Source organism: Homo sapiens, chromosome 1, assembly GCF_000001405.40.
Source record: "Homo sapiens chromosome 1, GRCh38.p14 Primary Assembly".
Lineage (NCBI taxonomy): Eukaryota > Metazoa > Chordata > Mammalia > Primates > Hominidae > Homo > Homo sapiens.
The window spans coordinates 97,099,503-97,111,891 of record NC_000001.11 but is presented as its reverse complement, the minus strand read 5'-3'; the positions used below and the strand labels follow the sequence as shown (position 1 = coordinate 97,111,891).

At 36.3% G+C, this 12,389-nt stretch overlaps 1 protein-coding gene and 1 long non-coding RNA gene across 6 annotated transcripts in view; one reads left to right on the top strand and one right to left on the bottom strand.

The window, feature by feature from the left end:
- The window catches only part of DPYD (dihydropyrimidine dehydrogenase), an 843,317-nt gene that overhangs the window by 809,168 nt on the left and 21,760 nt on the right, over positions 1-12,389 (top strand). The gene's annotated exons all lie outside the window — the stretch shown is intronic.
- Positions 1-12,389, bottom strand: part of DPYD-AS1 (DPYD antisense RNA 1) — a 227,033-nt gene that overhangs the window by 211,064 nt on the left and 3,580 nt on the right. The window lies entirely within an intron of this gene.

Genomic DNA, 12,389 nt, shown 5'->3' with positions numbered 1-12,389 from the left:
GTAAAACACGACTAAGTCAAAAACCTAGTAAAAATGGAGCCAGAATTGGAAGCCAAGCTAAGTTCAAGACTGTACTGTGTATAAATGTACAATTACCCAGTACCTTCATTCATTCAAGAGTGTGCAATGAGCCAGGCATTGCTCAAGGTTCTGGAAATTAGTAAATAAGATTAGTGAACATTTTAATCTAGTACCTTTTAGAGGGGTTGGAGATTTTTAAAAGTAAGCAAATAAACGATGTGAATATTTTTAAAAAGGAGATGTGAAGAGTGTGATTTGAAAGGCCTACTCTAGATTGGGTGGTCCGAGAGTGCCTCTCTGAGGAGGTGACATTTTATCTGAGTCCTAAAACATGTGAAGGATCCAACTATGCAAAGATCTGGATGCAGACCAAAAAAAAAAACCCAGTAAATGTAAAGGCCCTAAGGTCATATGATCTTATAAGACTTGTCAAGAATAGCAAGAACAATATGGCTGGAGTGTAGTGAATAAAGGGGACAGTGGTTAAAATATATTGAAGAGGTGGGCAGGGGCCAGATAAACCTACAGTCATGGTGATGTTTTCCAATTTTATTCTAAGAGCAATGAAATCATTGAAGGATTTTAAGCAGAGGAATCATCTGTCATAGTTTCTATTTAAGACAACTTCTCAGGCTACTATAAGGAGGATACGTTATACCAAGTCAAAAGAGAAAGCAGGTAGATTGGTTAGGAGGCTATTGCAGTAGCCCAAGGATGAGGCAATTGAGCCTTGGACTAGAGCCATATCAATGGAAATGGTGAAAAGTAGAGAGATTTGGGGTGTATGTACTACCCAGCAAAGGAGACACTTAGAAGTGACGTAGGATGAAAAACAGAATAGTGGGGGTTTTGTTTATTTTTTTTAAATAGAGATGGGGTCTCTCTATGTTGCCCAGGCTGGTCTCAAACCCCTAGGCTCAAGTTATCCTCCCGCCTCAGCCTATGAAGTGCTGGGATTACAGGAATAAATCACTGTGCCCAGCCATAGGATAGTGTTTTAAGAAAGAAAGAAGGGTCAACTAAGTTTAATGATGCTGAGAGATAAAGTTAGATGAGCACAAACAAAAATGTGGCCACAGGATTTGCACAATAAAGATTGTTGTTAGCTTCATTATGGAAGCATTTCAATTGTTTGGAATGGAGGACAAATTCCTGAAAAGGATATGTTGAGGAGTGAATAGGAGGTGAAGGTGTGAAGACAGACACTATTAAAAATGCTTAAAAGAAGTTTGAAGGGAAGTAAATTAATGATGCCTGAAAGTGGCTGTAGGGTCACAGAAATTGTTTTGTTATGCTTAGCATATTTGTTTTTAGGATGACAGACGCTAAAGTATATCTGTGTGCTAATGAAAATAATGTAAAAATGAGGGTGAATTGTTGAATAGTCAAAGATAAAAATGACAGAAGCAAATTCCTTCAGATGATCACAGGGTACGTGAGGTGGAGTCCATGAGTGGAGTCTTTTAAAGGACATAGGATACCTCTCTTAGTAGTGGAAGAGAAGACAGAGGGTGAAAGTGCAGGTGAGTGGGATTGTTTATGTTTAATTCTATTGCACTAAAAGTGATTACATATTCCCTGAGGAAGGAGATCATATCTGTTTTATTCTCCATTATGTCTTCAATGGTCAGCGCATAGCATGTACTAGACAAATTGTAAATACTCAACAAATACATCTGAAAGAAGGAGTCTTTCCCAAGGATGTAGTTTATTAGGTCCTTCCCTCAGTATCTTTTCCTAAAACACCAAAAACTTTAAGTATTGTTGGGCAAAACAGTAGCCCAAAAACTTCAGGAAGTTCATGGCCAATGTAGAGGGAGTGGCACTAGGCTTGGAGTTGGGAGACCTAGATTTGAGATGAATTCTGATTTATGGATGTTTGTTACTGTATTCTGTAGCTGCATGGAGAAGCTATTATTTGTGGAGCACTCTGCCAAATGTATAAAATATATTTTCCCATGTTTAATATTTCATACATGTATGCTAATTAATTATATTAGAAAGATATTTTTTATATTAAAAAACTTATACTTCCTTTTATTTTCTTTCCAATATAAATCTGCTGCTTAGCATAGAACTACTAAAAATTGACTTTCAAAATGATGATCATTTCATTCCAGTATGCTCTGAACTGTAACTCTAAATAGGGTTTTAGATGGATCAAAATGTAATATTTTATGTCCTGTGCTGTAAAAGGGATTAAAACAGGTGTTTCTGCATAGGAGGATATTAGGTATCATATTGCATAAATATGGAAGAAAATTGATTAACCTAGTCTTGCTCCAAATATAGCCTGAATCCTGTATGCTTTTTTACTCCATATTTATAGCAGTCCCATTTTCCTCATCACCTCATTTTTCTGTTTTCCTTTGCTTCCATTCCATTGTGTAAGGCAATTTTTATTCCATTTTCCCTCATTGGTTTTTGCCCTTGACATTCTATGCAACATTTAGCCATGAAAGCAGTAGCATTTTGAAGGTGGGTTTCAAAAGCAAATTATTTCATCCAAGTACTCCTAAGGCACTGGAAGGACTGTTGCTGAGAAAATCTTTCTTTATGTATTGTTAATACTCTGTGACATTTTTATAATTCAGAGCACTCACATCTTTACATTATTTATTATATTGTGCATAAATGAGATTTATGCACAATGTAATAATACTTTGGTTCTATAATGCTTTAGAGTTTTCAAAATAGTAACAGCTGTCTGTATTTTAATCATCTATTAATGCTTTTCCTATTTTAAATAGTTGTGGTGAAGAACAAATGGGCAAGGTGATCATTGTTATTTCTGTTTTATACAGATGAAAATTGAGGCTTACAGAGGGCAAGTGGCTTGCCCCAGGTCATTCAGCTAGTTTCTGCGTTCTAAGATCAATGATCATTCTGCATATTGCATTGCTTTAGTAGAAGGTTCTATTTTTTCTCCCAAATCCTAAAACTCTAATATGTACCAAATGCATCCACATGTGTATCTATATTTTATTCTTACCTCTTTAGTAATTTCATGCCTGTTATCATTTATATTCACTTCTAATATTTGTGGTTGATTTTCTATAGAGTGTGTCTCAGATGAGTTTGTAACTAGACATCAAACTTTGTCAAGATAATTACAGTGTAATGTTAGTTATGAACTGTATGAATTTCCCAATTCATACAGATTTATAATAGCTTTCATTAAAAAAATATTTTTAGTTCTATTAATTTTCTATACAGATTTCATTATTTAGTAATGAGGTAAAATAGCTACAATATCTTTAGTTTTACCTTTTACTAATGAAGTCTAAAACAGTTTATGAACCCATCCAACCTTGGAAGTTTGATAAACATGATCCATGATATCCATATGTTATAGCCTAATAGACTCAGAATGTTCTATAGTTAAGTAGGATGGAAAGAGTTATAATTTATGACTCAATCTGATGTTTCATTCACAGACAATGTGATGCCACCTAGGCATAAACCCTAAGGAATTCTAATTGTGAATTTGAAAACAAAACAGATCATATCACTGGGAGGGACCTCATAGATCATGTAGTCAAACCCCCTCATGTTACCGGTGAGAAAACTGAGACACAGAGGGAGTCATCAGGCTGCCATAGGTCACAAAACCAGCTGACAGCAAAGTGAAGATCAGAGCCCCATCTCCTAATTCCCAAGTGAGTGCTGTTTCCAATATGCCACATTACCTCCCCCAGCAAGATGCCTCCCATGGGGCATTGCTTCTTGAAGATGAAGTATATTAAATTCACATTTGGCTGCTAATCGTTTTCTCAGCAGCTCTATGGTATTTCATTAACTTCTGCATGTAACACCCTGGCCTTTCACCTGTATTAACTTGAGCTCATTAAACTTGAGGCCAGTAATAAACAGGACCAAACTAATTCAGATATTTTGCTTGGTATGTGTTCAGCATTTTTTTTAATGGTTTCTACTGTGTGAAACATTTTCCCTTCAAAATTTGTGGAATAAGTAAAACAGGAAGCATAGATTTCAAGGAATGGAGTATGTAGGTAGTATGCTTCTTTAAATAAATAAAGAGCATATTAAACACCTACCTTATACAAAACTTTGTGAGGACTACAAAGAAGTATGAGTGGCAGGATAGCACAGAGTCTATCAGGCAGACTTGGATTTGAATTAATTGTAGCAAGTTACTTAGTCTTTATGCCCCTCAGTGTTGTTGTGTATAAATGGACACTAGAATACCCAACTCATGGATATTCTTTATCTTCTTTGCAATAAGGAAGAGATAATGTACTCATGTGCTTTGCAAAGTGTCTGGTATATAGCCATGATCAGTTAATAAGCTGATATATTCGTGAAGGTGATGATGATGGTGCAGTTCCTTCCCTCTCCCTTGTTAAATTTATAATCCCCTCTCAGCCATTTTTGAGGAAATTGATTTTCCCCATGTCACCTCCCCTACCTCATCATCTCTACAAAATATAAGCAAAGGTCCTTTAGAATGCAAGGAAAGTAAAACTAAGTCATTTTACCCTTCCCAGGTTGTCCACCAACATTGCTTTATGTTCCTTTTGACTAAGAAGTAAGTCTTTGGCAGCTCATAGACTATGCAGGCCCCAGTTAACAAAGTTCCTATGTAATTTTAAAAGTCAAGAATCTGATTGAGCAGGGGATGGTGATAAAGGAGGGGTCATCTGCAGAAAGATGACCAACAAAGAGGTGGAAATAGAAGTCTGTCAGGAAGAATGACAGCATGCAGGAGTTTCAAGGCAGAAGCCATTGTGAGTCAGGGTGAGGCAGTCAGCAGGCAGTGTGGGAGTGAAGATCAATATTGGAGCCTTGGTGTGGGGACAGGTAGTCAGTGTTGGTTCTCTGTTTCCCGAATACTACGTGTATTAGAGTTCTCCAGAGAAACAGAGCCAATTTAACATATTAGATTCCCTCTTATATATCCATACATAACTAATAGGTTATATATTCAATTCCCTCATATATCTATATGCAGCCAATTGGTTATATTATTATAGCCAACAGGTTATAGGTTATATCTGTATGTAACCCATTGGTTATATATAGGTATGTAAAAGGGAATTTAATATGGGAATTGGCTCACGTTGTTATAGAGGCCAGGAAGTCCCATGACGTGCCATCTGCAAGCTGGAGAACAAGGAAAGCTTGTAGTGTAATTCAGCCTGACTCTGAAGGCCTAAAAACTGGGGGAGCCAATGGCATACTTAACTCTATGCCTGAATCTGCAGGCCTCAGGACTGGGAGATGAGGGGGGCAGCAGATGGTGGAGGAGATGGCTGGGCGAGTGCTATAAGGCCTACAGTCCAAAGGCCCAAGAACCTAGAGCTCTGATATCCAAGAGCATGCGAAGATGGATGTCCTAGCTCTCACTCCAGAAGAAAGAATAATTTGCCTTTCCTCCACCTTTCTGTTCTATGCAGTCCATCAACCAATTGGGGGATGCCCGCCCACATTCTCTTTACTCAGGGCGTATTTTCTTTACTTGGTCTACTGATCCAAATGCTAACTGCTTCTGGAAACACTCTGACAAACACACCCACAAATAATGTTTTACCAGCTCCCTGGGCATCATCTCTTAACCCAGTCAAGATGATACATAAAATTAACCGTTACACCATAGAACCCTTTTTTAATTTTCTACTATAACAGCTTTGAAAATAATGATGACCTTAGAACTCATCTAGTTCACTTTCCTACCACTACCAGAATCCCATCTCCAACATTCTGGATGATTCTCCCTTTTTGCTACCGCCATCATCCTACAGTCCACCCTTCCTTCTGCCACTATGAGGATCTGGTCACACATTTTCAAATATCTGGTGTTCCCATACACCCTAAAGAATAAAATCCAAACACTTTGCCCAGAATTCAGAGCCCTATCTATAGATATTCCAGCTTCATCCCCCACTATCTCCCTGACATTTAGTATATTTTAGCCATATAAGGATAAGCTCATCCTGTAGTTCCTTCACTTCATTTCCTTACTTCTCTTCTCCTCCTACAACTAGGCACTGCTTTCCCCTTTCAGAATTTTTCAGCATAGTTTAAATTCCTCCTTCACTGTAAAGATTGTATTAACCTCTGAGTTGGAATTAATTGCTCATTGGATCTGGGTTACATCAGATTGTTTGTGCATGTCGTCCTCTACTTATTTCTCCTTACAATGACGTATGTAAGCCACATGTCAGCTGACTTTACCCAGTCCTGTCCTTCTGGAAATTGCTACCAAATCCCCAGAGATTCTGTTCTCTAGGTTGCTTCTGGCTATAAATTCCAGCTGTCATTGAATTCTGAATCTCCCTCAAACCTCCCTCCTGTTGGTTTCTATTCTTTTCAGCTATATGCCAACCCAACCATGAAACTCAACCCTGTTTCCCTGATTTTCCTCCAAATGTCTCACCAAGACATGTAAGTGTGTAGCAGATGTTCTTAGATAAAGACTATGGAGGAGGATTTAGATTGGAGCAATGCAAACATCTTAAAATTAAATAGTGGCTCTCCCTGTTTATAAAAGTCCTTCAGCCTCATACCAACAGGCTGTGCTCCTTCTCTCTTGCCCTCTCTTTTCACACTTCCTTTTACCCTCTCCTCTCTTTTCTATTCCCCCTCTCCTTCAAAATTCTACATTTCTCCATGCATAATGCTTGGACCATCTCTTTGTTCTGGTTTCTCCTAAAACATGCCATCAATACCACATTTCCTAAATCCCAACCTAGAGGTATTTCTTCAAAAATACTTACTTTAAAAAATGACAGTTTTTAAAGAGAGACCTGATATGAGTTATTTAAATTGTTTCAATATGAAAATAATAATGTTCTTATCTGAGTTCCTTTGAATATGACTCAATCCTCTTCATAAGGCTATAAACTGCTTTTGGAAGGAACAGCCTCCTGGTCCTCTTTGTGGCCTGGGCCCCAGCACCTGCACAGCACTTAGCAGAAAGCAAGTCTTATTTCCATCATCCTTTGCTGGCATTCCATGAATGTTAGACTTTCTTCTCTTGATTGACATTATTCCTAATTCATGATCCGACTTCATCACTTCACAACAAAATGTGTTCTGCCTGCTTTTCACAGGTGAAGTGCCTCACCCTCTTGTAGCTTATGAACGATGGAACAGAGGGTTAGCAGTCCATTGGCTCCCCGGTGCCTTTTCCAAATTGTCACCCTTCTCCCTCTGCTGTTTATTCCACCTGGAGGATTCTCTTCACCTTTCCTGACCTCACGCCTCCACTGCACCACTTGCCATCCTACCTTCACCTTATCCTTCAGAGTTTAGCTCGGATGACACCTCTTCTAGAAAATCTCTGACCCCTCAGCCTGCGTTAGATACACATTGTCACTGCTCATATAACAGTTTGTGTCACTTCTGCCACAGCCCACAGGGTATTGCAATTGTTATTAATATAGTCTCTTTAAGGTCACACACTATCCTTTCTATATAAATTTCAAGTGTCTGGCTCCTTATAAATGTTTTCTGAATGTATGAATCACAGCTTTTCTGTAAGTACGATTTTTTACTTCATGTCATATTTGAAAACCTATTTATATACTTTAATTTGTTTCTGAAAGTAATTGTTTGGGATTGTTTGACAATTCAAACAACCAGAAAGATTTTGTAAATATATTCAAGATATTCATTCATTCATTTATTCATTCATTCATTAAGCTTTGAAAAATTATATTCAGCACCTATTATGTGCTGGATCAAAGTTACCTGTCTAGGATCTCAAGCTGGGCAGATGGACACATAAGCTAATGATGATAAGGCAGTGCAGTAGGCACAGAGATTAAAATATGCCCAGGATATTCTAAACCACTGGGCAGGGAGGGTAATCGGTAAAGGAGATTACTTAGGTGTTATGAAGACTGAGCTGAAACTAAATAGCCTAATTGGCATGTACCAGGTGAAAAAGACAAGATGGGGTATTCTGGCAGAGGGGATGCATGAGCAAACATGGAAACACAGAGCACAGTACACAATGCAATAGAAGCAGTTAAGGCTTATGGGAATAAATTGGCAGGCATGCATTTTGCAAATATTATTCCATTTAATGCTTATACCAACATCGTGAGTTTGATACTGTCATTCTCATTTCATTGATAAGGAAAATTAGTAGCAGAATAGTAAAGTAATTGGCTCATAGTCACACAGCTAATGAGTGCAAAACTGATTTTAATGCAAATTTGACTTCTAAATTATTTCCCTCATCACTATGTGAATGTTGACTTTCTACTTTCACTATGAAACATGAACTATCTCTGCTTTTGACCAATTTAGATATCACATATTTGATCAAAAGTTGTAGCTTACATTTATCAGGTTAAACTAATACTCATATTTCATATATTTTACATGTCCAATGCCAGTGTACTGATTTGCATCATTAGCCATCACATAGCACTATGGTAACGTGTAATATGTAGATGGACTTTCTGTCTCTGTCTTTTTATTGTGTTCCACTGTCCAAATTTGATAATATCATGAAACATTGCTTACTGTTATATCGGTGATTAAGCATTACATGCCACTTACATATGGGAAAATCTGAGCTTCTGATTCTAAACCATGCTAAAACTGATTTTGAAATAAAAATCAGCATCAAATGTAAGTAACTGATTACTTTCATAATTGAAAAGAGGAAAGAAGAAAAGTAACTGAATTCAGAAACTACAGAACAGAAAAGATACTTCTCATCTCTATCTCCTGTGCTACCTTGAATCATGCTGAGCAGAGATTGAAATTAGGGTGAGTTAGGAACTTTACCTGGATTACTTTATTTAAACCTCACAATGGCCATTTTATAGATAATGAAACAGACTCAGAGAACCCATGCTCTCAACCATTATACCACACTGCTCCCATATTTTTTATTTTAGGTATCCAAGAACTACTTCAATTAGCTTTTTGAGGTTTTTAAAGATCAACTCTTTGAACATTTATTTTCTTCATTTTTCTCTGCAATTATTGGTCATTTTATTGAGTTCAAACAGTTTTCCAAGGAGTCTGGCATATTATTCCTTGAGATAACTGCAACAACCAGGTATATTTGACATATAATTCAATCTGACACTAGCCCTTAATGAATAGCAAAAGATACTTACAAAATTAATAACAATGATAATTTGTACTACACTGTCTGGAAATTGTTTAGCCTTTAGTGTAGCACAGGACAGTTCCTGGCCCAGAGTGGATATTCAATACTGTATTTGTTGAATAAATGTCAAAAGACTGATAAATAATAGAGCTATGTCATATGCAAACATGTCTTTTGGGAAAAAAAAGTCAACTTTTAGATATCCTTTACATGTAACTTATCCTTTAGTCTGTCAGTTGTATAGACACACACACACACACACACGAAATAGGTATAAAGGAGATAGATAGATAGATAGATAGATAGATAGATAGATAATAGATTTCAGGTTTATACTGAATAAGATACATATATACATATATATATATATATATATATATGATACTGAGTGATATATTCTGATATAAGCCGGAAATATTTTCATCTTTCACATATTACAATTTAGATATCAAAGTAATTACTTGTCTTCTTGTTATGGTTTCCAATTAGATAAGAGAGTGTGATTAAGAAAATAAAGTTGATCCATTACAGTACTACAGACTAGTGCTATTAGGCAACTTGCTGCCATTCTCATAAAAATTATGCAGTTTAAACTGGAAGATACAAGTGCTTGCTTCTATTACAAACAAGAACGCTTTTCTACTTCATAATATGCTCAATTAACTTTAGATTGATCCATGAATAAATTATAATCCAAATAGACTTCTTTACCTTAAAGCTTTGCTGGCTTAAGGTATCATTGTTGATTCATTATGTTGTCACTTTTCTATCGGCAATGTAATGCTTTTTTTATATCTGGATAGAGACAGTTTTAGTGTAAGATACTGTTATCTTTAAATGAGTAGGATTTAGCCTTTCTGGTGAGAACAAATTCATCAATGATGAATCCCTGGAGAAACTATTGAAACAAAACTCACACCATTTCTGAGCTTTGTTCAGTTCATCAGTTACAAAGCAGCTTTTGATAGTCCTAAAGAACTTTTTCCTTTGTTTAAGAAATATAGCATGACGCTCAAAACCTCTCACTTTGAGTTACCGCAGGCTACAACTTTTCTGTAAGAAAATAATGAATGAAGAGGAAAAGCTCCTGCTGCTGGCACTGTCAGGTCCTGCTGCTTCTCCTCCTGCAATAGGAAATCAATTAACTATATGTTCAGGCAGAGATTTGAACTAAATGCTTTATTAATCATCACTGATTGCACACACACACAGTGGCCAACTATGCATTCATCTTCACTCTTTCTTAGCTTTGTTTTGCTTGCTTGCTTGCTTTATCCTTCTTCCTTTTTTTTTTTTTTTTTTTTTTTGCAAGATCAAAACACAAATGTATGCCTAAATGTAGTATGTGTAAAGGTGATCGGTTGATCCTTTGTTGCGGGAGAGAATTGATGTTTTTTTGTTTTCGGAAAACTTTACTTTTAAAATGTTCAGTACTTAAATAGCCTTAGGACCACTTTAATATATACAACATATTTTTTAAAGCACTTAAATTTTCAAACTAATAAGGAAAGCAAAATGTCTACAGCAGCCTTGAAGTTTTGGAAGCTGGTACTATACCTTAGTCTCTGAGAGCTCCATGTAGCAGTGAGGAATTAAACAAAAATGAACCCAATTTGATGTGGAGATGCTTGGTGGAAGGTGGAAGGAGCAGTCACTGATATTTGGTATTTTTTTTTTTGCTTTCAATTAAAAAAAATTGGCAAGTTTTCCTTTTAGTCCATTAATTCTTCTAACCAATGCACAAAGAAAATCCTGTAGGAATCTTTATGTTAAATTGAGATTCTCTCTTTAGGACTAATTATAAAACCAATTAGCACATTAGAAACTTAGCATGTTAGCCAGGGGAAGGCTGTGTAACATAATTTATGTATGGCAAATGTGGTCAATCATTGCAAAAAATGACAGAAAATATCAGGCTGTTGGATATTTACACAGGCTGTATTATATTCAGCATCAAAAGATTTTCAAAAATTTATTGTTCTTATTACCATTGTTGAAATAATTTGAAATCATTATGGTTTAAATTTAACTACATTCATTGTCTGCATTTGGATAAATAATAATCTAAATGAAAAAATATACTATCCTCTGATGTACATTTAAAGGAAGATAGATTAAAAGGTTGCAAGAATGATTTCTTTTGAATGGCCTTTACAAAACTCTTAGGTGAAATTAGATGATGTTGAGTAAGGTAAAGTCCAAACAGAGAACCATGTAAACCCCAACAGGGAAAATAATGGTTCCGATTTTCATGGAGCCTGCTAACCTGAGGCATCTGCTAGAACCAGAGGTCATATGTTTCAACACTTAACCGTTCTTGATAGTCTTTGAGTATATTAGATTAGGATTGAGATGCCCCTGAGGTATAAGAGAAGCACGCAGGGGGTGACATTCTGAAGATTTATATCATGTGGACGTGTGCTCGCCACCTTATGTGGTGTTATCTGACCCCAAAGGCATTTTTTTGGCACCAAGTGTAATCCCTAACACCTCATATACCTCATATGCCCCAAGAAAAAGCCATTTCATAAAAGCATTGTCTTTTAAGGATGCTTATATATGTGATAAGGACTTGTTTTATACTCTTATTTATTTTATGCTTTTAGCAAGTCAGTATCACTTGTTTTATAGCAAAATGGATACAAAATACTATCTCCCTCCATCCTATCATTTCATATTACTGCAACAATTAAATATTACAAATTAAGAAAGCATTAAGGTGTAGAGATGAAGTACTCAGTTCTAGTCTCATTGTATATAAATTAGTTTGGCATTCATAACATTGTTTCCATTTACTTGACTTGTTGACATAATTATAATGAATTGATAATGGAAGTAACAATCTTAGATATTTCTACATAAGTATGTTCTTTGCTAACATGAATTACAGTTGCAGTTTGCAGTTCGGCTTAATTGGAACATGGTTTAAGTTTAGCTTACCTACTCTACTGAGGTCTCTAGAGGACCAGAGAACTCATTTTCCTGGGGCGTTATGCAAGCTGAAATGTGGAGGCCAGTGTTTTGAAACAAGTGTGATTTTTCACCAAAATACTTGCTAGGTCAGAGATCAGGATGACCTTCGAGTGCTGTAGTTTTCCAAACCTCCATCAGCTAGATAAATGGACTTTATTCTGCAGGAGAGAGAGGGTATTTTTGCAGTCTTATGAAAGAGACCTACCAATTCCAGGTTACAGGCCGACACAAAACATTTGGAATTCAGTGATGTCTATCACCAGCAGTATGTGTCAGTAAAAGTGAAGATCAAAGTTTCTAG